We start from the raw sequence: 24038 nt of genomic DNA on the forward strand, positions 1-24038 counted from the left end.
TAACAGAATGGTACAGAGAGGCCAAATCCTTTGTGGAATGAGACAGGTATGAATAAATAAATGTGATATTACCTGCCCTATTACCTACCTATTTCACAGATAGAAGGAATGTGGGCTGCCTCACAGAGGATAGTGGGGTAGATTTATCAATAGGAGTGAGTCCTGCAACCATAGTTCCTTTGGAGGCACAGAGGGGAGGTTGCCTGAAATGTGCTGTCTAGATTCCACCTGGGATATGATTTGATTGACAGCTCTGCAGGGCACATCTGCCCCAAACAACTCACCTTGGTACCTACCTTAAATCCCTGCAGCTCGAATCACTCTTTTAGGTCAAGACATTTTCTCCAGGAAGCCCCTGTTAAGGGACCACTTTGCTTCTTGTGAGCCAGCGCAGGTCAGTATGCAGGCCTGGGAATGGGGTTTCTTTCAGGTGAACGTTTTAGCTCTGGGGTCTTGTTGGATTTAAGTGAAGACTGACATCGACATGGCCTACATCAGTGGTTCTTAAACTTTGTTGCACATAAGAATCACCTGCGGAGTTTTAACAGTCCTCATGCCGTGGCCATATCCCCAAGACCATTAAATCAGAACCTCTGGGGATGGATCGAGATATCAGTATTTTTAAAGTTCCTTCCCGCAAGTTGGTTCCAAAGTGCAAAGAAGCTCCAGAGCCGGTGACTTAGAACATTTAAAAAGGTAACTGTATCAATTTAAGAACAGGCTAGCAGTTTCTGGGGGCGGAGGTAAGGGGAGTGGCTCCGCTAGGGCAATAAAGGGTGGGATTCGGAAACAGCCATGACCTTGTGTGAACTGTGGCAGCCTGCGTCTACAAAAGTCGCTCTGCTGCTATTTTAAGGAAGTGAAAGAGAACTGAAGGGTGTCCTGTTGTAACACAACTCTTGCGGGCCCCAGCCTTCCCCTGCTGGCTGTGCTTTGGTCTGCTGCTGGCCAGGTTCCCGCAGTGACCACACGTCTCATATTTGCCAGGGTGGGTTAGGTTCTGTTCACATGTAAAATTCTCCTGGGCCTACTGGTCATTTCAGACCGCGAGGGTAAATTTGGTTTGAAAAAGTTGTGTCCTGTGGAGTTTGTCGACACTCCAGCCTGTAGAGAACTAAAGGCTAGGGCTGTGGTGACTCCTGCCAGAGCTGGGGACTATGCCGAGTCCCTGGTGTCGCTGCCATCTGAGGCCTACAGGGATTTTAAACAGCTTAACAGCAGCCAGTCCTTGGAGGCCTGGGCAGGGCCACAACATAGCAGTACAACCAAAACGGGTTCAGGCCACACGCTGGAGGTAGGGGCTGGACCAGATCTCCAGCTTCAGTCCTCCCCAGTTCGAGAACCCATTCCTGTGGTCAGACATTGCCAACGCTTTTCTTGGACCTAAGGTCCCAGACCTTGGCGCTGGGCACAGGGAAATGCTTCCTGACCTCGGCTCTTCATAAGACAGAACTTTTGTTTGGTGCCAACCACTAGAGGGACCTCCACCCCAGGTTGCGAGTGCAGCGCGGCGGGACCTGGGATGATTCGGGGGCTTTCCGACCTGCTTAGGGAGGGCGGCTCAGAGACAACCTCAATTTTGCCTGGATTGCACGCGGGCCGAGGAAGTCGGGATGCTCCGAAGGGTTTCTGCTCTGGGAGTGCCTCTAATGTGGGTTTTCTATGCTTTCTCTCTTCGCAATTCTCGACACCGTTTCCTTCTTCCTCGCTTTCATTCCCTGTGACCGGAGAACGGCGCTGAAGGACTGGAGAAGCCCAGGAGACTGGGAGCCGGAGCGCCGGGTACCCACCCGGGCCTCCCCGCAACCGGAGCTGTGCGGAGGAGGAGGCGCGGCGAACGGGGCGGGGCTCCCGGAAGGGGGCGCGGTCCGCCGAGAGAGGCGGGGCTGGGGCCCGGACGCGCGGCCCAGGGGGTGGGGACGAGGCAGGTTCGAAGGGGCGGGGCTGACCAGGCCGGTCCCCCGGGAACAGGAACCCTGGTGGACGGGTCCCAGCAGGCTTCTTCGGTGCCCGAGAGGGAGCGGGTGCCCAAGGGGGTGGTCCCTGTGGCAGGTCCCGGGGTGGGGGCGCGGCGCTCCGGGAAGAGCCTTCCGCAGGTCCCCGCCCCGTCACGTGGGCGCCGGCCCCGGCCGCTGCGGTCGGTCCGCTGGTTGGTCGGGCGCTTGGTCCGGCAGTTGGTCGGTGGGCCAGTGGCCCGTCGCTCGCTTCTGGGCTCTCATGTTTGAAGGTGGGAGGGACACGGGAGCGGCCCGCACACCTGAGCCGCCCGGAGAGGAGCCTCGGCCCCGTACCCAGGTCAGTGGGCTCTCCCCACACCCCGGGCTTGCCGCGCGGTCGGGGTTGGGATCCCCGTCGGGAGCATTACCTAGGGAGTGGAGCGCCCCCAGAGCTACGAACCACGGGGACGTGTGGGTCAGTGTCTCTGTGAGCCCCGGAGCGTGTCCCAGGCTCGAGGACGGGGACCCTTCTCCAACTCCACTGGCCAGAAGCCTGGGAGGAGGGCAGAACTCCTGTGGGTTGGCTGCGAATCTCCACCCAACCCTGCCTGGGATCCGCGGACAGTCCGCACTCCTGCAGGTGCCAGCGTGGCCCTGGAGATGCGCAGGGAGGTGGGGTCCCTGAGTTCTGTGCGGCGCGTCCCAGCCCTGCTCAGCCCGGGGAGCAGCGGCGTGGACTAGGGAGCCTAAGGAGGTTGCGGAAGCTTTAGGTCTGTCAGCCCAGGCAATTCTCTGGTGGACACAGCGTGTGTCTAGATGCAGGGCCTCGGCTAAAGCCAGTTCTGTAGTGTAAGTGCAAAAATACAGCACACTTTTTAAAATCTAAAGCCGCCGCGTCCCAGTAGACTGCAGGATGGGGACGGTCCTATTTAAAAGTGGGCTCCCTCCTCACCTCATCACATCAGATTCCAGACCCGCAGTTTTTCCTCGGATGAAAATAAGATTATGTAACAAGAGAACAGAACTTCCAGCGTTTGGATAGGATTAAGACAGGCATTCTTGCCAGTGTTTAATCTTCTTAAAAAACGAATCTAATTATATTTTTACTTTTAGAGCAGCCAGATATTTGGTATAGATCCGTGTCCCTTTTCTATATTTTGGTCTACTTCCTGTCTTTCTCTTCGTCTCTCTCCTTTCTCAACCCCTCCTTAATTGATTGTAATACAAATCTGAAGTGTTTTCAAATTTGTAGTGTATTATGTGAAGTTAAATGGTCAACTACAGAAAAGTAGTTGGTTTTCGACATAATTCATCTTCAGCATATTCAGTCTTTCATTATTATAGGTGTATGGAAAGCTGTAAGTGTTATCTAATTTAGAAATTATTTCTCTTTGGCTTAAGAGAGGCAACCCATTTGTACTTTGCTTAAATTCATAGCTAAATAAATTTGAAGTGGGAGATGGGGATGATTGATGAGGTTTTCACTGATTGCATTTATCCATGTTTTATTTAACATATTTCAATTATTAGTAATACTATTTTAAGATTTGGTGATGTGACAGTTGTTAGCTTATTGCTACTGGAGAGATAAGCTGCTTACCATGATGCCTTCTTTACTGGGTAGCTAAGGGAGATGCGCTTTGACTTTAAAAGAGTAAGTGGAATGAGATCAATGACATGAAGGCGGTAGGAACAAAGTTATGGGAATTCCTGTCTTTCATCTGAGCAGGGAAATCTGGGATAATTTTAAGAAAGGGTGATGTGATGGACCTCAAAGGATCCCTCCTGGGGTTTTTGAGGCAGAGAAGGGTAGAGTGTGGCCTGGGCTGTGACAACTGTGTGGGCAGGCAGGCATGGACTCACCATGAGAAGTGGCCAGTGGTCCAGCTTGGCTCTTATGTCAAGTGCTAGTCAGGAAAGCTGGTGACAAGGCTGGAAAATAGTCCCAGCTGTCCAGTACAGAAGTCTGGACTTGGTCTGAAGGCACAGCAGGGGACTGACTGATGGTTCTGTGAACTTCTCAAAGTCAAAGACCTTGGTCCTTGACCCTCCCAATTCCTAGCCTGATACAGAGAAAATCCAGTAAATATTTGTGGAGTGCATGGTCTGACAACACTGTAGAGCAGAGCTTCTCAAAGTTGAGAATCCTGTGGGGATCTTGTTCAAATGCAAATTATGATTCCATAGGTCAGGGGTGGGACTTGACATTCTGTGTTTCTAACAGATTCCCAGGAGCTTGCTGATCATTTCCCTATGTGTAGCAAGGATTTAGAGTAGCAGTTTGCAAACCTGGCTATGCCTCATAATCGCCTGGGGAGTTTTGTAAAACGTTCAGATTAAGTAGTCTGGGATGTTTTTACCAAGTTCCCCCAGGTGATTCTGTTGACAAACCCGAAGGCAACTGCTGCAATGGCAAAGTTCTGGGAGTGTGGTGGGAAGCAAACTCCAAGGGAAAAAGACAGTGGGGGCGGCGAGGCCGGATAGGAAACCGGGAGGCTGATCCAGGGTCAAAGGGATGAGGCCTTATTTTGGGCCTGAGAGAGTGATGAGGTGGGGACAGGTAGGGAGACTTCGGAGAGATAGAATCTGTAGGACAGAGGACTAGGGAATGGGACAGTCTCTAGACTGATTAGATGCAATGAGAAGTGAGGAGGGAGAAACAATGCTGGGAAGATTCAGCTTTGGGCCTGAGGAATGGTATGGCCTTTAGACTGTAATGTTTAAGGTAAAGTTTATGAAAGGTTCTTGTATTGGTTCGAACCCCGAGAGCCTGCCAACAGACAACATGAGGCGGTGTGGGGCAACGTGCTGTTTTAACGAGCGCCTGGGTGCAGGTGGGCTGAGGCCTAAAATGGCGTCAGCACCAAGTGAGGACGAGGCAGGGGTTTTATAGTTTCCTGTAAACAAGAAGTGTCTCAGTCTGATGTAACTTCTGCACAGTACCCAGACGGCCCCTCTCTCTGTCTTCAAGGGGTACGTGTCTTCCAGCCAGGGTAGGTGTCTTCTGGCCGGCTGTCTTCCTGCTTCTGCTGTCTTGCTGATGCACACTGCTGGCGCAACTGGCCTTGCACCTTGGGACTGGGCCTGAGAAGGGAGGAGTTACTCATCTCTTCAAGCTTTCAGACCCCGGGGAGAATCTTTCATTCCTGTCTATTTGGTTATAGTAAAAAGGGAAAAGGGGTGACTTTCTCAATAACTACTTCAGGCGTGACTTAGGGGTGGTGTGGGCTCCTTGGAAAAAGAAAAACTTAATTTTTAGGGTATTCTTGAGAGATGTGTTGGTATCCATCGTGTCGTTGTAGCAGGAGCATAGTCTGAATTGTCTGGTGGCTAACTGTAGTTTCAATAAGAGTTTTAGTGGCTTTTATTATTAGTGGGATAACACAGGGGAGAAAAAGTGATGAAGATTACTGTCCCTACCAGGGTTTTAAATCCTCCTAAATTAGAGAACTGTTGTCCGGCTGCTAGAGTGAGAGCTCGAGTGAGGGTGATGAGTTCAGCTTTTTGGGAGGTGGTGCCTGGGAGGAGCAGATTGGCTTCAATAGTGTGGGGTCTTTAAGGGTAATGTGGACAGGGGTGTGGTGTTTTGCAACTGAGGGTGTGGAAATATCCCTAACAGCGGGGTTAACTACAGATAGGGGTAAGGAAAGGTTGCATGTTTTAGGGTGGGAGGTTGGAGGAGCAGAAGAAAGCTAGAAGCCTCGGAGGGGTCTGGGTTGATGCGTTGGGTACTACGGGGAATGTGGAAGTGGAGAGTAGTGTGGAGTTTTGAAAGGATGTCCCTGCCTAGGAGCAGAGTTGGGAATGAGACCAGGTTTGGGGTGAAAAAGTGAGTGAAGGAAAAGGTGTGCAGGAAGCAGAAAAGTGGAGGGGTGGCTCGGGGTTAGGAGACTTGTCCATCAATTCCCACAACAGAGACTTAGGAGGACTGGGTGGGTCCTGAAAAATTAGGTAAAGCAGAGTAGGTCACCCATGTTGATTAAAACCATCAGGGTTACCCTTGGCTCGGATGAAGTGATGGTAGTTGCCGGGGCATCCATTCCAGGGCACCATCAGTCTTCAGCGGCAAGGCAAATGAGATCCGAGTAGGAGGTTTTGGCCTGCTCAGGAAGGGATGGGGGGCGGTCCCTGCAGGGGCCGCTCATAGTCCGACTTCCAGTGGGGTCCTCCGCAGAGGGGGCACGGCCTGGTGGGCTTACCTGGGTATGGGCATTGTCTGGACCAGTGGCTTTCATTGCCGTACTTGAAACAGGCGCCAGGTGGAGGTGGATTGCTAGGAGGCTTCTGTGTGGAGCTGTGGCCCCGTGGGCCTGCAGGGCCCCTGATGGCGGAGGCAGGCATTTGAAACTCTGCCTGTTTTTGCCTTTTACTTTCCTCATCATGATTGTTAAAGACTTTGAAGGCTAAATTAAGAAGGTCTTGTTGTGGGGTTTGAGGGCCGTCGTCAAGCTTCTGAAGCTTGCACCGAATATCGGGAATGGATTGGGAGATGAACCGAAGGTTTAAGATAGTGGTTCCTTCTGGGTTGGCTGGGTCTAGGTTGGTATATTTTCTCATGGCTTCAGTTACATGAGAGAGAAAAAGGGCTGGGTTTTTGTCAGGACTTTGGGTGATTTCTGGAAGTTTTTCATAGTTTACCACTTTATGGGCACCCTTTTTGAGTTCTGCAAGGAAACACATAATCGTGTGGTCTCGATGGCAGCATCTAGAGGCCCTGTCTTGATAATCTCAGTGGGAGTCCTGGTTGGGGACTGCCTCTGCACCAGTAGGCTTGGCAGGAGCTTGTTGATGAATTGTGTCAGCATGCACCTGAGCTAGGGTCCAGACACAGTCCTGGTCTTCTGGGGTGAGGGTGGAAGAGGGGATAACGTAGAGGTCATGCCAAGTTAGTTCATAAGACTGGGTAAGGTACTGAAACTCCCTGATATAAGAGGTAGGGTCGTCTGGAAATGAACCGAGTCTTTTGTTAATTTGAGAGAGATCAGTGAGGGAGAAGGGAACATGAACTCTTAACAATACCTTCAGCTCTTGCTACTTCCCAAAGGGGACACTCTAGCACTGGCGCTGAAGTGAGGGTGGGGCATGAGCCAAAGATGGCGCTCGAGCGAGTATGGGCGGGAGAGAAGGAAGAAGTCAGAAGTCGTTCCTGCTGAGGGTTTGAAGGGGAAAGGGGGTTTGAGTTGATAAGCAGTGGAGGACAGATAGGGGCGTAAGGTGGCGGGATGGGTTTACAGGCTTCAGGAGAGGGCAGTGAGGAAGGAGAATGAGTACAGGCAGTGCTAGAGTTGTCCTCAGGAGAGGACAGTGTAGGAAAAGAAGTGGGTACTGCTGACTGGGAAGATGGTGGCTGGGAAGATGGCAGCTGAGAAGATGGCGACTGGGAAGATGGCAGCTGAGAAGATTGCGGCTGAGAAGATAAAGAGGAGGCTTGCGGGGTTAAAGAAGATGGTTGAGAGGGAGAGGTAGAGTCTGGGAGGAATGGACAGCAGTCTGCTGGATCTAACGGGGAAAAAGAGGTATGGTCGGGAGGAGAAAGGCGATCAGGGCTGCGAGAATGGAGGAGAAGGATTTGAACAGGTGAGCAAGAATTGCAGAGGTCGGGTTGTGATCTGAGTGCCAAAAGGCCTGGAAATAAGGAATTTCTTCCTATTTCTTCGGTCGTTGGCAATACTTGCTTAAATCAGTTAAAACTGTAAAGTCGAATGTTTCATTTGCCGGCCATTTGGACCGTTATCTAATTTGTACTGTGGCCAGACTGAATTGCAAAAAAAGAAAAGGCGCTTAGGGCGGATATCTTGCCTGAGGCCTAAGGTTTGCAGGTTTTTTATGAGGCAGCCTAGAGGGCTGTTTTTTAGAATGGAGGGCCGGGAGTTTCCCATAATGAAGGGTAGGCACAGGAGAACAGGGAAAAAGGAGACAGTCCTGGACAGCCGGACGGAGACGATAAAAGGAGCGATCGTCACCACTGCCTTTTTCATTCCTGGAACGGGATCAAATGGCTTAGAGGTGTCCCCCTAAGACCAGATGATCAGCGAGTGCCTGGCACACGCTGGAGCCTTTTTGGACCAACGTTGGATTTTCGGACCAGAGAAACCAAAAGAGGCCGAGCACGTTTTTCCCTGTTAACCAGGTTCCCGGGGAAGCTTACCAGTAGGTGAGATCAGTGACTGATCTGCATGCACAGAGAGGCGACTGGAGGCTAAGGAGCTTCCTTTGTCCAGCTGCTGTGGCCTGCTTTCCAGCATAGAGGGGTAGGTCCACGGGGGACACAGACCCGAGCCTCTCCCAGGTTTCGGCACCAGATGAAAAGTTCTTGTATTGGTTCAAACCCTGAGAGCGCTCCAACAGACAACACGAGGCGGTATGGCGCAACATGCTGTTTTAATGAGCGCCTGGGTGCAGGCAGGCTGAGGCCTAAAATGGCATCAGCACCAAATGAGGACAGGGCAGGGGTTTTACAGTCTCCTGTAAACAAGAAGTGTCTCAGTTTGAGGTAGCTGCTACGTGGTACCCAGACGGCCTCCCTTTTGGTTTTCAGGGGGTACGTGTCTTCCGGTTGGGGTGGGTATTTTCCGGCTGGCTCTTTTCCTGCTTTTGCTGTTTTGCCGACGCACGCTGCTAGCACAACTGGCCTTGCACCTTGGGACTGGGCCTGAGAAGAGAGGAGTTACTCATCTCTTCAACCTTTCAGACCCCAGGGAGAATTTTTCAGTTTAGAAGTGGTTTTTTACTTGGCCATAAGATTTTTTTTTTTTTTTTCCTGAAATGCAAATCTGTTCATGATGCTGTCGTGTTTGAAATCCTCTGGTGGATATCCTAATGCAAAATATAAGAAGGAAGCACTAATATAAACACAACTGATAACACTTGTTCCATTCTACAGCCTGTTCATCCCCATTCAAGATGTGACATTCAGTCCCCATTTGGTGTGGGCACAACTAGGCTGAAACTTTTGGCAGCTTTGTTTATTCCTGAGTCACTATTTTCCCTGCGTCCTTCTTCTTCAGAGGAGCTCCACCTCCCTTGGACTTTATGTTTCTTAGTATCATTTTTTGGTTCCAATGCTTGATGGCACCTATGTGTCTCTGTCTTCATGGAATCTATGTAGTTCTAGGAAAGGTGGGCTTTATCCTTTATACACCCTTAAAGCCAAGTCTTGTTTGACTGTGGATCTTCACAAGCTTCATTCTTATCTCTCACTCATCTGGTAAATAAGCCTCTAAAAGAGGCTGTCCTAGAATAATCTGTTTAGCTTTAGGCCCAGATCTCCTTAGTGCCTCAAGTTCCAGGGGACTGCTGACTCCGAGCTTTGTCTTCAGCAAATGTATGATTTCTGTTTGCCTTAAGGTCGTTGGCTTGGTTCTCCCTGGTTATTCTTACTTTCACTTCCTCTCTCTGTCATGTTCATATGTACACATTTATGCACACTGAAAGCTGAGCATTCATTGTGCTTGATGCTTTTAATCACCCTGTTCTATGTTGCATAGTAATCATGATCCCTAACATACCTGTAGATGGGAGGCCTAGACACAGAAGGAATAGGACTGTCTCTCTGATAGGATAAAATACACCATCCTTGTATGGCATTCAAATCTCTACAGTGGTGGGCCCTACTTTAGCTCTCCAGCTGCCTCTCCACTGTTCCCCAAACTGAGAAGCTGAGTAATTTCTATTCTTTTGTGCCTATCTGCATTTGCATACACTATTTTATCTTCCTGGAAAGCCCTTTTGTCTCTATTCTGCAAGATTATTAATCCTTCAGGATATAGATCAAATTCTTAAAGCTCCCTTGCCCCTAAGTCGTTTTTACTCTTCTGTTACATACATATCACATCAAACAAAGATCTGCTATGCTATTTCATCACTTTATGTCTATGTCTCTGTCCATATTCCTCCAAACTCTGAGCTGCTTTAGGGCTGTATCAGCTCTTGTGCGTGGCCCCACACTTAGCAGATGTCCAGGAGGAGTCTGTGGTAGATATGGGCCTTAAGCTGGCTGGCTTTGCAATGTTTACCTCAGTAAAGAGGGAAAGGGGCTGGTTATTTCGTATGGTAGACGAGAGAAGGAAGAGGAGCAGAAGCTGAAAGACTGGGAGGAAGGACAGGCCCAGTGAAGAGTGGGCCCATATGGCTAGAGTCAGGGGGTTGGGTGGACACTGGGAGAGGTGAAGATGGAGTCCCAGGCTGGGAAGAGATCATGGAAGGCCTTGAAAGTTGGAGCTATATAATTTAAATTTTATTCTGATGACATTAAAGTTTCCATACTCAAGTATGGAAAAGACGTGGTAAAACTGTTCAGGATGATTGTGGCTGGGAAGGGCAGGTTGGAGGGACAGGGAGGAACTTCTTATGAGCACAGGCTGTTAGAATAACCCACTGAGGTAGCTCAGGACCTAAATCAAGGCAATGGCAGTAGGAATAGAGAGAAGGGAGCAGAGGCAAGTGACCATGCCAAGAAATCCGGCAGGATTTGGTGACTGATTGTATTTGAGGGAAAGAGAAAAGCGTCAAACTGGATACTGACGTGTGTTAGTTTGCTGGGAGAAGAATGAGGCAACTGTTAGTAGCATGAAAGCATGGAGGAACTTAGTGGAAGGGGGAAGGGAAATGAAAGTGGTTGATTCTTTTGGAATCAGAAGGGAGCCTCGGGTAGTTTCTTGCTTGCCCTTTATATGTTTACCCATAAGAGGATGGTGAAGCCCAGAGAAACCTACCCAAGATCACTTAGCTCTTGATTGTAGAACCCAGGTCTACTGGCATTATGGCCTGGGCTTCTATCTTCTGTAGCACATGAGTTTAGCCAGAGGAGAGCTGCCAGAAGGTCGAGATGGAGATTCCATTAGGCAATGAAAAATGGGAATGAGACCAGGTTTGGGGTGAATTCAGCCTGCAGAACAGCTAAGGCTGGAGTCTTATAGGTCAAGCACCCAGATGGGAAATGTCTGCTAGTTGCCAATGCCATGGGGGCCCGAAGGCTCATGAGGCCTCCTTTTTGCCCTGTGGCCTAGCTGTATGTGGGGCTGATGGGAGATATGAAGTACTTTTAGGGTATCAGCGCTCTTATACTTATTATGCTCAATGTGGGCACGTGTATTAATTTTCTTCTGGGAATGTAACCACCAATCAATTTATCAATTCCATGGGAAGTTGTATTCCAAGGCCCAAACACCTCCTCTACCCAGACTTCAGGGCACATCCAGCCAGTTCATGAGAAGTTGCCTCTTATAGTGTTGGAGTGGGGATGGGGGTACAGGGAACAGCTAGCTAGGGAAGGCAACCAGCCATGAGGACCTCATCCAAGCAGGGTCCGGTGTAGAGTCAGGATCGGGGACTCAGATGGCTGGATGAGGGCTACAGCTGTCCGATGAGGAGTGAGGATCTTATCTGGAATCTGCACTGCTGTCGGGAGACTCAGTGGCCCTGAGGCTGGAGTTCTTCAATCCTCCTCACCCCTCCCTTCCACACACCTTTGCCCAGCCAGGCTCCTCAGCCTCCAGCCTCCCAGGATGGAGTCTTGTCTTTGTCATGGACGCTGACACAGTGGTCACTTCTGTTTCTTGAGGAAGAGCCAGGTTTATGAATGTGAAACATTTGAATTATTGTCTGAGTTGTGGTAGTTGCCAAATAAAAACATATACACAAAGAATACTGGGAGCCAACGTTGAAGGAAAACTTGTCAAACTTCCCTTTCTCTTTTGAGCTTTGTAGTGGGGTCTTGCCAGTTTATACCTCATCTTGTTCTGAAGGTTTTTTGTTTCTGTTTTTCATATTAAGGCCAAAATATGTGCACGAGCCTGCTCACCCATGGTAAAGTGTCAGGGACAGCCACAAATTGCACAGATTACAGACGTAGATTTGCACTTCCCATTTCTTAGGAAGTAGGTGGGTGGAGGAACCACTAATGCATCTCCAGGAAGGGATTTGTTAGCTCAAGGGAGGCTATGGGGACTAGATCCTACATTGCCTCTTCCCAGGCTTATGGTCGCTGTGGTGTTCCCAGGTGGCTCTGCTTCAGGTATGTCTCTTTCCTCCTGGGAATAGGGAAGGAGGTGATCCAGATCTCAGGATTTCTCTGCCTGCTTAGGGATGCCAGTGAGGTGTGTTTAGTGGGGATACTCTTGTCCCTGCCCTCCAGGGTAAAGTTACACTTCCACAGTAACTTGTGTGCATGGTTGAAATGCAGCCATCACATGCAGCTGGGCCTCTCACTCTGACCTGGAGGGCCACTCCTGTGACTGCACTGATTATCCCAAGAGGCCTTCTTAGCAAACTTCTCCAAGTTGCTTCTGGCGAAAGGTTCAGAGAACTCTGCCAAAAGGAACTACTTGGTTGACAACTCTGTGTGTGTGTCTGTGTGTGTCTGTGCGTGTGTGTGTGTGAGAGAGAGAGAGAGAGTTGTGTAGGAATCAAGAGGTTTGTAATAGGGACAAGGGGGACAGAGAGGGGGTAGAGCCACAGCTCAAGCTTAGGAAGATCAAAAATGGGTTACCTCTTTCTTGCCTGCTTAGGCAAGAAAGCCTCTATCTTCAGGGGCAACAGTTTCCTTCTCCCAACACACAAGTCCATGTTCCCTCCAAATCAAAGAGGTTTTTACACAAATAACTAGCTCAATGCTGGACTGCTTCATGGAGGCAGTGGAGGTGTAGACTGGCCCCACAGAAAGTTTCTTCCACAGGAAAGGATAGAGCAGAACTTCCAACTTTGGTGGATTTGACAAATGGCTTGTTTCATGAGGTCAGGGTAGTGTTATTCCCATTTTATGGGAAACAGGTGCCAGAGAAGTAAAGACACTTTTGAAGGTTCCAGAGTATTAGATTTAATGTAATTTATTGTCCGAACTGAACACTTTTGAAAGTGAAAGTAGGCACATAAATGCTAAACTGGGTGGGGACTGGGGAAGATCAGGATCAGGCACATTGGGATGTGTGGTTTCAAATTCAGTGTTCAAAACTCCAAATTCTATGAGCAATGGGGGCAGAAAAGGGAAGGGGTGGGGTGGGAGAGTGGATTGGCCTGAGGGGGTGGAGATCGATTTGGGATAGGAATAGCAGATTCTTCTAATTCAACATTTCACCAAGGCAGAGGAATAGTTCTTGACTCTGACACCTGACCTTGACTGGATGTCATGAAAAAGTTTCATTACATAAGCTCTTCCTGCGACCAACCAGCCAAGACATCTGGTTCTTGGATGCATGTGCTCACCTGGTAACAACAACAGCCTTGTGTGTCTGTCTGGGTTTTCACTGTGCCTGCTCACTGGTGCGGCACAATGCCCCGGGCAGGGATTATTGTTCTGCTTGTGGAAATGAGGAAGCTGACTCCTCTTGCCTGTCCTGCCCCCTCATTCTATCATGGCAGGCAGGAGGTTTTCTCCAGCATGAGGACTTGGCCTCCCTAACTCCTGTGGGCCCTGGTAGCTCTAGAGTGGAGGGTTTGAATCAGACAGTCCTCGATTAAAATAGCTCTACACCAATTCGCTATTGCTCCGTACCTCTTTGAGCTTTACATTCCTCATCTGTTTAATGGGAACAATAATAGGCCAATTCATTTGGTGGTTGTGAAAATTAAATGAGATGAAATGTTGACTCCAGTGCTTGGCACATCATAGGTAGTCAGTAAATCCTTTTATTCCCGTCTCAGGAAGCTTGAGAGAAATCATTTATCAAGAGATATTTAGATCATCCAGAGGGCTTATCCTGAAATTTCAGGTGGGAAGTTGCATGCTCTGGGCTTCCAGGTATGACACAGAAAGGGCAACCATGGTGGCGGTGAGCAGAAATTCCAGGAGGCAGAAGTCCATGACAAGGTAGAGAACAGCCCGGAATCAGGTGGCTGGTCACCCACGTACAGGACAAAAGCAGCAAACAGCGCAGAGTCCAAACCAGCTGGATGAGATGTGGCAGGGTTAAGTGCAAAGTCCTGCCCTTAGGCCCTGAAAATCAATTGTGTGAGTGTCCTACCCATCTATGTGGAAAAGCCCAATACATTGGCTTAGCCTGGCTACATTAATTGAAGTCCTGGGTTTAGACCTTGGTAGAGGATCTTTTCCCTGCATTGGCTGAGACTGGCCACACCTGGAGTGTGCAAAGCCGGTATCCCTGTCTTACAAGCTTTGGAGGGGCCCAAGGACAGTCAGGAAGATATAGGGGAATGACTGCTATTTTCAGGTGGGCAAGGTGGGCAGCATGTTCTTTGTTGCTCAGAGGGCAGAGATGAAGGCCTATGGTAGTGATGTCAAAGAAAACTAAAGACGGAGCAGATTCTACTTTGACATAATGTAAGAAATTTTAAAGAACTCAGGCTTGTCTCTAGGGCCAAACCGCTGTTTTAGAGCAGATATTGGAGTCTACCTGCAAAGGGTATTGTTCAAGCAGTATTGACTAGAGAGGAGTTTATGAAATAACAGGGAGGAAGGTATACTGAAAGGTTATAGATCTAACTAAAGTGCTGTAAGATTTTGGCAAAGGGAAGGCTTTGTGGATCAACCAACTGGGGTGGGATCCTGGGGAGCTGGGAAGAAAAGGCTCTCTGGGGATCCCTGGTCAGTCAAGTGAGTAAAAGGCATAGAAGCCCAAGTGAGTGAAGTGGGATCGAGAAATAATAAGGAAACCAGCTTAGCTAGACTCTTCCCATTATTAAAAGTCAAAGAAAGAAGTTGGGACTCTAAGGGAAAAGGAACTTGAATGCCAAACTAAGAAGCTGGACTTTACCCTGTCGGTAGTGGGGAATAATTGGTGGCTTCTGAGCAGAAATGACTTGCAGCAGATGTAGGCTGGAGTGAGGGTGGGAGGCTGGGGAAAGAGCAGCCTTAAAGCTGTGCAGAAGCGGCCGGGTGCGGTGGCTCACGCCTGTAATCCCAGCACTTTGGGAGGCCGAGGGTGGGCAGATCACGAGGTCAGGAGATTGAGACCATCCTGGCTAACACGGTGAAACCCCATCTCTACTAAAATACAAAAAATTAGCCCGGCGTGACTATGCGGAAGCTTCTCTATCCCAAGTCGCAGGCTGAACATCCCACTTAGTGACAAGGGCTGGGAGAGGGGAAAGGCTCTGAGCAAATGTCTTTGTGGGCTGAAAATGAGACTATGATCCCAAGAAGTGACTGGACTGTGTATATTCTTTGCTGATGCCTACCTTGGCCCAACCATCTGAAAGCTGTTTTAGACTCACTTGCCACCCCTTGAAGATTTTGAGAACACACCATCCTGAGACCTGGAGAACCAGGGTATGTGGTGTGAGACAGCTGGGTTCACAGCATCCTAGAGGGCATAGCAGGTATAGAAGGGAGTGATCCAGGAGGACACTGGTCACAAGAATGTCCTCCTGGATCACTCCCTTCTATACCTACCATACCCTAGGAAGTCTGACTGTCTGCACCTTGGGCCATAGAGTGAGCAAGGTTCCATCCCTGGGAGGGGAGGCAAGGAAGGGATGTGGGTACCAGGGCCTCATTCAAGTAGGCTGAGGTTTTGGGTGGGGTGTGGTGTATGGGAGGAGAGAGTTGCTGTGGTTAGGCAACGTGGATGTCTGAGCAGTGTGATATCTTGGTCTGGGTGGCAGGGAAGGAGTCTGGCAAGAATGGTAGGAAGAGTGGCCATGGAACCCCAAGGTCAGAACTGGCCCATTGGATCTGGGGAAACCTACCCTTTAGCAGCAGAGGTAGAGCATACTTCTCAGGTACTGTGGAATCAGTAGGATTGTGACAGTATTTATTATTTCAGCCTCTAAATAATTTTTGAACCATTGTCTATGCTGAGAATGGTGATGATGGGACCACAAGATGAACAGACATGTCCCCTGACTGAATGGAACTTAAGAAATGTACCCCCTTACTCAAACAGATAGTAGTAACTGCTGAGAAAATACAGTTAATATTCAGAGAAAGATGTTGGGGGGGCCTGGCTTGCTGAGGAGGTGGCATTTGAGGTGTGTCCTGAAGGAAAGACAGGGACCAGAGTTGCCCGTTTCTATGGGGCTGAAGGGAATTGCTGGCAGAGGGAACAGCAGTGCACAAAGGAAGGCATGAGTAATGCCAATTAAGGGGCACCTGTGGAAAACAACTGGCGGCATGATTTGGCTGGAACTGAAGAGTAAACGAAGTTAAATAGGGCACCAGGGATTGGAAATTACCGTCTATGAAGTACCCATCATGCATCAGGCATTGAGCACAGAGTCTGTGCTCACTTAAATTTCAAAGCAGCCTTTCAGGGCTTTAACTGAGGAGGAAATGGGCTTCAAGAAGATACCTGATCATCTCAAGTTTCCCTAGGTGGTGAGTGGCCAAAATAAAATTGATGTCCAGGCTGCCTGACCCCAAACTCTGTTCTTTCCACTTAATCTTGCCACTATGTTTAGAGTCCAGATTATGCAGTCTTAAATTTACAGTGAAGACCTGTTCTTACCGTATTTAGGCAGGAAGATGGTCAGATGGCACATGGCAAACCACATTAACCTTTGAGAGGCACTTAGTGGACATGGCCAGATAGTCACAAAGCATATCTGAGTTCTAATACATATATATGCATGCATACACATATATATTTAGGAAGTTAATCTCTAACTTCCTAAATGCAGTTTTCACATTACAATAGAAACTGTTACTCCCAGACCACTATAGGCAATTTCTGAATTGCTGGCTGAATTCCAGTATTTTCTCATCCCTTCAATAAAGTATATTAGAATGGGGCAAGATAAGCCTGAATCTTCTCTAATTTATACAAAAAGCTTCTATCATTAGTAACAAGTTACCTACAACCAACCTTACCTGTTTAGGATACCAAGGTGTCAGCCCTAAGAGATGTTTAGCAAGAGTGGTACTCCAAGAGGTTTGGAAGCGTGGGATGAGGGTAAGAGTCAGAGAAATGTGGGCAGTAACCCAGGTGGGGCTGTAGGGGTTGAGAGGAGGGACCGATACAGTTCAGTAAGCATTTGCTGAGAGCCTGCCCATGCAGGGGTGTAGAGTGGGTGCTGGGATACCTGCATGAAAGGACAACATTGTTTTCACAGATCACATGTTCAAGCTCTGAGCAGGTGGGTGTTGGTGAGGACTGCCTGCTCAAGTTGGGGTTCTTATGCGTATATCTAGTACAGTCAGCCAGTCTTTGTTGCTGAGCAGGTCTGCCCAGGGCCCAGTTCTCCATCCAGTTTGGCCTTCCTCCTGGAGCTCAGAACTCAGATCTAGCCCTGGTGGCCACGCCTTGCTTCTGTCCTCAGGGTGGACCCAGGGTCCTTCAGACTTCCTAATGGGAGGCTTTTCCTCAGCCTGGAGAGAAAAGTTGAGACCACCTGCGAGGCAATAGTAACCACTGAGAAGACAGAGGAAATATTCAGAGGAAGAAGTTGGGGGAGCATCTGGGCTGCAGTGACGCAGGATTTCATGTTAACAGGAGACAATGTGGGAGGAAGCTCTACCTCCTTGTCCTACCACTTAATAAGGTACACTGTGAGAACCCGTTAAAGGCTCTTCCAGGGTCACAAATCCAGTCCTCAAATGTTATGATTTATATTTAAAAGAGAATTTTAGATAAGCCAAGTGACAGCTGAATGGGAAATGGAGTTAATGAGACAGATCTTATCGGCTCCATGAAAAATGCATCTCATTACATCACTGTTACACATCGTATATGGAAACCTTCCCTCAGTAATTCCTGGAGTGATTGCCTGTCTGGCTATCGGTGTCCCCAAAGAGTGTGGTGTCCACTGAGAATAACCGGGAGGCCTTTCTCAGATACCAGTACGGCTCAGCCATCTTCTCTCAAGGCCATCTCTAGAGTTATTATGGGCTCTCTTGATGCCAGTGCATGGAGCCAGGGACTGCTGCACCGAGGACAAAGCCAGCCAGCCATGAACGTGGTCAAGACTTGGCCCTTCCCCTCCCTAACCCTACAGAGCCCAGTTCAGCTTTAGCCTCCATGTTTGAGGCCTCCCAAAATCCATTTCCCCAGCGGTGTCTTCTCTGTCAGGTACCTGCCCCTGGGATGGCCCCTGAGCCTCATAACTCGGCCTGTTCACTGTTCCTAAGCAGGTCACCTTGTGACCCTCGTGGAATGGCTGAGGAAGGAACCGAGGGGCTGTAAGAGTGGCCGTGTGATCCCTAGGAAACCTTCAGCTCTGGAAGGCCCTGTGGCCCTAACCTTGCCCTGTTTTGTCAGGTACTGCTAGAGAGACGCAGAAAACCTGGAGCATGTGTGCTGTTTGAGCTGCTGTATCCCAGGGTCTGCCACTTTGGGGGCTACCTGCAAGAGATTTGGCAACTTCTCAAAGGAACTCAACATCATGGTTGTTGTTTTTTTAACCCTGATCCCAACATTTAGGCCCTGATGAAGGGTCTTGGCCAAATCCATCTTCTGGAATAGTACAGTTGGGAACATGTTCTCTGATGTGGAGAGGCAGAGTGTTACATACTTACTGGGCCAGGCACTGAGGTGGGTAGTTTATTCTGTCCTCTTTCTTAACCCTCTGACTAACCCTGTGTAAGGCAGATATTATATCCATTACATAGTAACCTGAGAGGTTAATGTCCATATTACCCAAGGCAAAAAACGAATCCAGCTCATAAGTAGTGGAGCAAGGATTTAAGCCCAAATCTGTCTGACTTTGCTATGGTCTGAATGTTTATGTCTCCTAAAAATTCATATGTTGCAATATAATCCCCAAAGTGATGGTATTAGGAGGTGGGGCCTTGGGAGGTGATTAGGTCATGAGAGTGGAGCCCTCATGCTTGAGATTGGTTCCTTTATAAAGAGGCCCCAGAGAACTAGCTGGTTTCTTCCACCATGTGAGGACATAGCTGGAAGGCACCATCTGTGAACCAAGAAGCAATCCTGCTCCAGACACTGACTCTGCTGGTGCCTTGATCCTGGGCTTCCCAGCCTCCATAGCTGTGAGAAATACATTTCCATTGTTTGTGAGCTACCTTCCCAATTTATGGTAATTTTGTTAAAACAGCCTGGACAGACTAAGACAAAGCTTGGGCTCTTTCTGCTGCATGCTGCTCCTCTCTTTCTTCAGGGGAAGAAGCACCTCACTTGGGAAGAAAGGAGCCTCAGAAGGCTTGAGGCTGGGGGTATGGGGACCCAGCGTCTATACTACCCCTTCTGTGGCCATTTGGAGTCACATAGACCTCTGTAATTTTCACTTTTTCCTTTGATTCTGAGGAACTGTTTGGGTATCTTCTATAGGGGAATAAAGACTCTGCTTTATGGAAAGGAAGAGCTGAGAAAGATGGGAGAGAGGTCCCAGGAGATCATTAGACCTTCCCACTCCCCTGGAGTCCAGCTAACAAACTTCCAGGAGCAAAACCACTTGGGCCTGCAGGGAAGGGGCTACCTAGTACAGTGTCATTCTCCAGCAGGCCTGTCTTTGGCCTGCAGGAACACTTGTGCAAGTGGGGGATTCCTAGATCACTTTTCTTGGGAAAGTCCCTAAACCACTTTCTGGCCTCTGAACTCTTAGGGGAGGGAAGTGATCCAAGTGGCAAATATCTTGTGACTGGCAAGCCAAGGTTAGGGACCAACCCTTCCCCTGCCTCCCCACATGCTGGAGCTTTTGAACTGAGTTGAAGATAGCTGGGCCCAGGGCTCTTGGCCCTTGAATGCAGCTTGACATCTGGTCAGGCTGCAGGATCTTAGGGTTTCCTCTTTGTAGCATCCTAAAATCTGGCCTCACTAAATGGTCTCGGTCCAGAGGTGGGATTCGACTTAGAGCTGACTTACAAAGAATACAGATAAAGGAATATTGGGAACTGTGCTTACCTTGATGTGGTTTAAGGTCTGAGGATGTGAAGAAAGTCTCTCCTGGATTAAGAGGGAAGGGGAACACCAGTGGGTCAGGATAGAGGCCGACAGCCCTGGAGAGGAGGCTGCCTTCTTCCCATAACTTTCCCAGCTGCGTGTGTAGGATCAAATGGGGGTGTGTGTTAGTTTGCTTGGGCTGCCATAACAAAGTACTGGGGGGCTTACACAACAGAAATTTATTTTCTCACAATTATGGAGGCCAGAACTCTAAGATCAGGGTGTTGGCAGGGTTGGTTTCTTTTGGGGCCTCTCCTTGACTTTTATTTATTTTTTATTAATTTTTTTTTTCTTTTTGGAGATGGAGTCTCACTGTGTTGCCCATGCTGGAGCGCAGTGGCACGATCTTGGCTCACAGCATCCTCCACCTCCTGGGTTCAAGTGAATCTCCTGCTTCAACCTCCTGAGGAGCTGGGATTATAGGCATGTACTACCACACTTGGCTAGTTTTTGTGTGTGTGTTTTTAGTAGAGATGGGGTTTCACCATGTTGTCCAGGCTGGTCTTGAACTCTTGGCCTCAAGTGATCCACTCACCTCGGCCTCCCAAAGTGCTGGGATTATAGGCATTAGCCACCATGCCCAGCCTCTCCTTGACTTTTAGATGGCTGTCTTCTCCCTTTGTCTTCACATGGTCTTTCCTCTGTACCCATGTGTCCTAATCTGCTCTGCTTTTAAGTACACCACCTATTGGATTAGGGCCCACCCTAATTATCTCATTGGAATGTAATTACCTCTTTCAAGACCTTATTTCCAAATATAGTCACATTCTGAGGTACTGGGGGTTAGGACTTCAACATAAGAATTTTGAGGGTGTGGGTACAATTCAGCTCATAACAGGGTGTTTCCAAAATCCTCATTGAACAAGGCTCAGTGTCATGGTGAAGCATGGAGAGGCACTTACTACTGATCCTGCCAACCTTGGGACCAGGAGAGGATGGTGGACCCAGCTAGCTAGTGGAGGAAGCCTGACTGGCCTCGTCCAAAGGCTCAGCTCCAGGCCGAGCTGTTTACTTGTAGTCAGGCTCTCTGGCAGCAGTAGTTTCTGTGCAGTGTCTTCATCTGGCTCCCGTGTGGCCCTCGGAACTCCAGTGAACACAGAGCTGCTAATACCCTCCAGCCCAGGCCTTCGGGGGAAGCCTCCTTCTCCTCTGATGGAGGCAGAGGCCAGGCTGTTGTTGACAGTGCACACAGGCCTGTCTTTAAAGAAATTCTTTGGTCTTCTACTGACTTAACTTTTTTTATTGCAAGGGGAAAAGCATTGCATTGAATCAAAATTAAACTGTTCAACAAATGTTGAAATGAAGGCTCAAATTACAGAATACATTTTGATTAATTCAATTAGTGTTTACCTCCAGCCTGCCAAATTCTGGGGCCTATTCCTCAGCAGGCAGCCAGGGAGGCTCGTAGGAGGGAGTTGGCTATAGGCAAAAGTTACGCACGCTCCAGCTAATAGAGAAAACTTACCAATTCATATCTGTTTTTTTTTGTTGTTGTTGCTTAGCATTCTAAAATAATGGAATAGGGAGAAGTGCCTGGTTTTATTATCTATTAGGGGAAGTGACATCCTTTTTTCTCATTGGTCCTTCAGGAATACAATTGCATCCATCAGTTATGTCTCTCACTCATGCCAGGCCCAAGCGTAAGTTCCCCTTATGGTAGAGACGCTTTCACCTCTGAATATCTGGCTGTAAGAGAGAAGGGACCCCAGGTGTGGAGAAAGTTCGATGAGAGAGGCTGTCATGGATAGCCCCCAATCCTTCTTTCAGAGTGCTGGCCAAGGTTACATGCCCAGCCTCCCTTCACTTTCCACTCAGGTACACAAACACTTAACATTTTGTGTCAACAAACATTTACTGAAGGTCCTGTGCCAGGTTCTTTGCTGGGCTCTGAGGATAGAAAGGTGAATGGAGCATACTCCTTGCTCTCTAGCAGTTAATCTAGACAGGGAGGCAGACACATTGAGAAATAATACAAATTATTATCATCTTCATAAATAATATAGACAGCTCTGACGATAAAGGTGTGTACCAGATATGACAGGAGCAGAGCTGAGGCATCCAGCACCTTCAGGGATGAGGGGTAATGGTGTTAGGAAAGGTTTTCTGGCAGTGGTCATTTGGATAAGGCCTTAGCATGGGTGGGATTTGAAAGTAGAGATGGAGAAAAGCACCCACGTAGAGGAAGTACAGAAAATGGGGTATTTCTGTATGCGAGGGTAGGACGTGGTCCAGTGAAGCTGGAACTCAGAGTGGTGAGGACTATAGCGGGGAAGGTTAACTGTATTAGAGGACTTTGGCAGAGCTGCAAAATGCAGCTTCTCTCCTGAAAGCACTGTGAAGCCGAGGAATGTTTGAGAGCAGAGGAGCATGTCATGAGCTCCATGGAACATGTCTTGCCTGCACAGGGAAAGAAAGACAGATTGCAGGGAAGTTGGCTAGAGGTAGAAAGCCCAGAGGAAGCAGCTTTTGCAATCTGGCTGAGAGATGATGAGGTTCTAAACTGTGGTGAGGTGAGAGGTAAGGAGAGTTTGGTGGAATGTTAGGACCTATTCAGGGAGTTTGAATGGCACTGTAGAAAGAGCACCAAATGAGTCATCAGGAACTTAGGTTCAAATCTCAGTTCTGCTGGAAGGGAAAGTAGAATTCTCTGCCCCCTGCCCTGAAAAGTCCACATCCCCAGGTGGTGGTTTGGTTTTTTGTGTTAGCCTGTTACTATAAAAAGAATTCAAATGTACACAGAAATAGAAATAGTAAAATGCATCCTCTTACCCATCATTTAGCTTAACCTCTTGCTTGTATTATTTTTTAGGGGGGCAATTTTTGAGATGAAGCTTTTTGGAAATATTCACTTTGAGGTTGCATTTGAAGCATTTCTCTGAATCTGTTTATGATCTGGTTGAGGCAATGAAATAATTTCACGTCCATTTGTTCCTCCCTGGAGGTAAATTGTGTGTATGCATGTGTGTTCTTTGCTGTAAGAAGGAAAATGAGGGTAGCTTCCCTTGAAGGGTAAGTTCTGGGGCTGAGGAGGCACATTGCCAACCGGGTCCTGTCAGGGGCATGAGGCTCTCTGTCTGCTGTGGGGGCAGGTGTGGTGTGGACAGGGGAGAGAATGGAGGTAAGGACTACCACAGGTCAGACACCCTTATCCATTCACTGGGAGGGGCTTGTTGCCCAGAGCTTAATTCACACTGACCAACCTGACAAGGCTGGTCCATAAGCCAGACACCAATTTAATTTACTCTGGCAGGCATTGTGCAGTGGCCACAACGCAAATGCCTGCTTTCCCAGACCGCCTTCCTGGCCTTACCCCACCTGGCAAAATGAATTACAGCATCATCCGCAGGTTGCTGGGGAGCCATGCTCTCAAATAGAAGGCACCATGTGCATTGCAGGTGCATCACTACAGGCCCTGATGGGACCTCATAGGCTCTTTCTGGTGCAGGCCACTTCCTTTGCCAAGGTGGCTCTAGGGAGAGGGGAGGATGGGCTGAGCTGCACATGCTCAGTTCCTTCTTTCATTTCCACCATCAGATACTGAGCTGTTTCCCAGGGGAGGAAATCCTGGAAAGAGAGGAAGTTAGTATCCTCCCATTGGGTCTTGCCCATGACAACATGAAGCAGAAACTAAATGGAGGTGGGAGCCCATGTCTCAGCCAAGATTCATTTCAACAGGCAGGGGTGGGGATGCTGTCATAGAGAAAACTTGCCTGAGCATTGAAAAATTAGTTTTGATGGACAGAGATTGGGGAAGGGGCCTTTAGTTGAGGAAACAGCATGACAAAGGCACAGTGGCATAAGGATGCTCTCTTGCGGCTGGGGTATCAGGAACCCAGGAGCAGGTCAGGCTCAGTGAGGAAGTGCGTCCAGCGTAGTGGTTAGGAACATAACCTTGGAGTTGGACTGCCTGAATTCAAATCTTATCTTTACTGCTTCCTGGATGTGTGATTTGACCAAGTCACTTAACCTCTCCAAGCTTCAGTTTCCTTATCTGTAGAATCGGGATAATAATAGTTATAAATATTGAGATATGAGATAAACATAAGAACTTAGCTCAGTGTAGAAGTGAGTGTTTAATAAATGGCAGCCATTATAACTACCATCATGAGAACAGGACATTTTCGGGCCGGCTCCAATTTGGATGCCAGCTCATGCGTTCAGACTGCTGTGGGAGAGGCCAGGTGTTACTCAGGTGAGAGGAGGTTCTCCAGTGCCCTGGTTCTGAATACCTGAACACAGTCTGGGCAGTAGGAGTGGAAAGGATGAGATGGAGAAGAGCATCCCTGCAAGGGGAGACCACAGAGACCTG

General features: G+C 48.7%; 2 protein-coding genes across 15 annotated transcripts in view, besides 11 other annotated features; one reads left to right on the forward strand and one right to left on the reverse strand.

Annotated features, from left to right (window-relative positions):
- Positions 1-24038, reverse strand: part of LOC124902806 (leucine-rich repeat extensin-like protein 5) — a 30521-nt gene that overhangs the window by 3808 nt on the left and 2675 nt on the right. Inside the window, exons 2-3 of the mRNA XM_047428005.1 lie at positions 2292-2779; positions 297-2214 (exon numbers count right to left, since the gene is read on the reverse strand). Coding sequence (XP_047283961.1) covers positions 1384-2214; positions 2292-2779 — 1319 coding nt within the window. The 3' untranslated portion in view covers positions 297-1383. The remainder of the gene's footprint in view (positions 1-296; positions 2215-2291; positions 2780-24038) is intronic.
- Positions 949-1068: an enhancer, noted in NCBI's record as "active region_4365". NCBI's record gives its function as "activates an Ori minimal core promoter by ATAC-STARR-seq in GM12878 lymphoblastoid cells {active_cell/tissue: GM12878}" and the evidence as "EXISTENCE:reporter gene assay evidence [ECO:0000049][PMID:35858748]".
- Positions 1739-2268: a silencer, noted in NCBI's record as "silent region_3110". NCBI's record gives its function as "represses an Ori minimal core promoter by ATAC-STARR-seq in GM12878 lymphoblastoid cells {active_cell/tissue: GM12878}" and the evidence as "EXISTENCE:reporter gene assay evidence [ECO:0000049][PMID:35858748]".
- The window catches only part of PPFIBP2 (PPFIB scaffold protein 2), a 153306-nt gene continuing 131440 nt past the window's right edge, over positions 2173-24038 (forward strand). For all 14 annotated transcript variants that reach the window (NR_147792.2, XM_011520415.4, XM_047427751.1 and 11 more), the window contains exon 1: positions 2173-2295. The gene's annotated coding sequence lies outside the window, so the exon portion shown is untranslated. The remainder of the gene's footprint in view (positions 2296-24038) is intronic.
- Positions 4754-4803: an enhancer, noted in NCBI's record as "active region_4366". NCBI's record gives its function as "activates an Ori minimal core promoter by ATAC-STARR-seq in GM12878 lymphoblastoid cells {active_cell/tissue: GM12878}" and the evidence as "EXISTENCE:reporter gene assay evidence [ECO:0000049][PMID:35858748]".
- Positions 8241-8370: an enhancer, noted in NCBI's record as "active region_4367". NCBI's record gives its function as "activates an Ori minimal core promoter by ATAC-STARR-seq in GM12878 lymphoblastoid cells {active_cell/tissue: GM12878}" and the evidence as "EXISTENCE:reporter gene assay evidence [ECO:0000049][PMID:35858748]".
- Positions 8451-8560: an enhancer, noted in NCBI's record as "active region_4368". NCBI's record gives its function as "activates an Ori minimal core promoter by ATAC-STARR-seq in GM12878 lymphoblastoid cells {active_cell/tissue: GM12878}" and the evidence as "EXISTENCE:reporter gene assay evidence [ECO:0000049][PMID:35858748]".
- Positions 8591-8640: an enhancer, noted in NCBI's record as "active region_4369". NCBI's record gives its function as "activates an Ori minimal core promoter by ATAC-STARR-seq in GM12878 lymphoblastoid cells {active_cell/tissue: GM12878}" and the evidence as "EXISTENCE:reporter gene assay evidence [ECO:0000049][PMID:35858748]".
- Positions 9381-9430: an enhancer, noted in NCBI's record as "active region_4370". NCBI's record gives its function as "activates an Ori minimal core promoter by ATAC-STARR-seq in GM12878 lymphoblastoid cells {active_cell/tissue: GM12878}" and the evidence as "EXISTENCE:reporter gene assay evidence [ECO:0000049][PMID:35858748]".
- Positions 9501-9680: an enhancer, noted in NCBI's record as "active region_4371". NCBI's record gives its function as "activates an Ori minimal core promoter by ATAC-STARR-seq in GM12878 lymphoblastoid cells {active_cell/tissue: GM12878}" and the evidence as "EXISTENCE:reporter gene assay evidence [ECO:0000049][PMID:35858748]".
- Positions 9758-9958: a silencer, noted in NCBI's record as "peak1190 fragment used in MPRA reporter construct". NCBI's record gives its function as "represses an SCP1 promoter by STARR-seq MPRAs in K562 erythroleukemia cells {active_cell/tissue: K562}" and the evidence as "EXISTENCE:reporter gene assay evidence [ECO:0000049][PMID:32103011]".
- Positions 17065-17114: an enhancer, noted in NCBI's record as "active region_4372". NCBI's record gives its function as "activates an Ori minimal core promoter by ATAC-STARR-seq in GM12878 lymphoblastoid cells {active_cell/tissue: GM12878}" and the evidence as "EXISTENCE:reporter gene assay evidence [ECO:0000049][PMID:35858748]".
- Positions 19309-19478: an enhancer, noted in NCBI's record as "active region_4373". NCBI's record gives its function as "activates an Ori minimal core promoter by ATAC-STARR-seq in GM12878 lymphoblastoid cells {active_cell/tissue: GM12878}" and the evidence as "EXISTENCE:reporter gene assay evidence [ECO:0000049][PMID:35858748]".

The sequence above is a fragment of the Homo sapiens genome, chromosome 11 (genome assembly GCF_000001405.40).
Source record: "Homo sapiens chromosome 11, GRCh38.p14 Primary Assembly".
NCBI classification, from domain to species: Eukaryota; Metazoa; Chordata; class Mammalia; order Primates; family Hominidae; genus Homo; species Homo sapiens.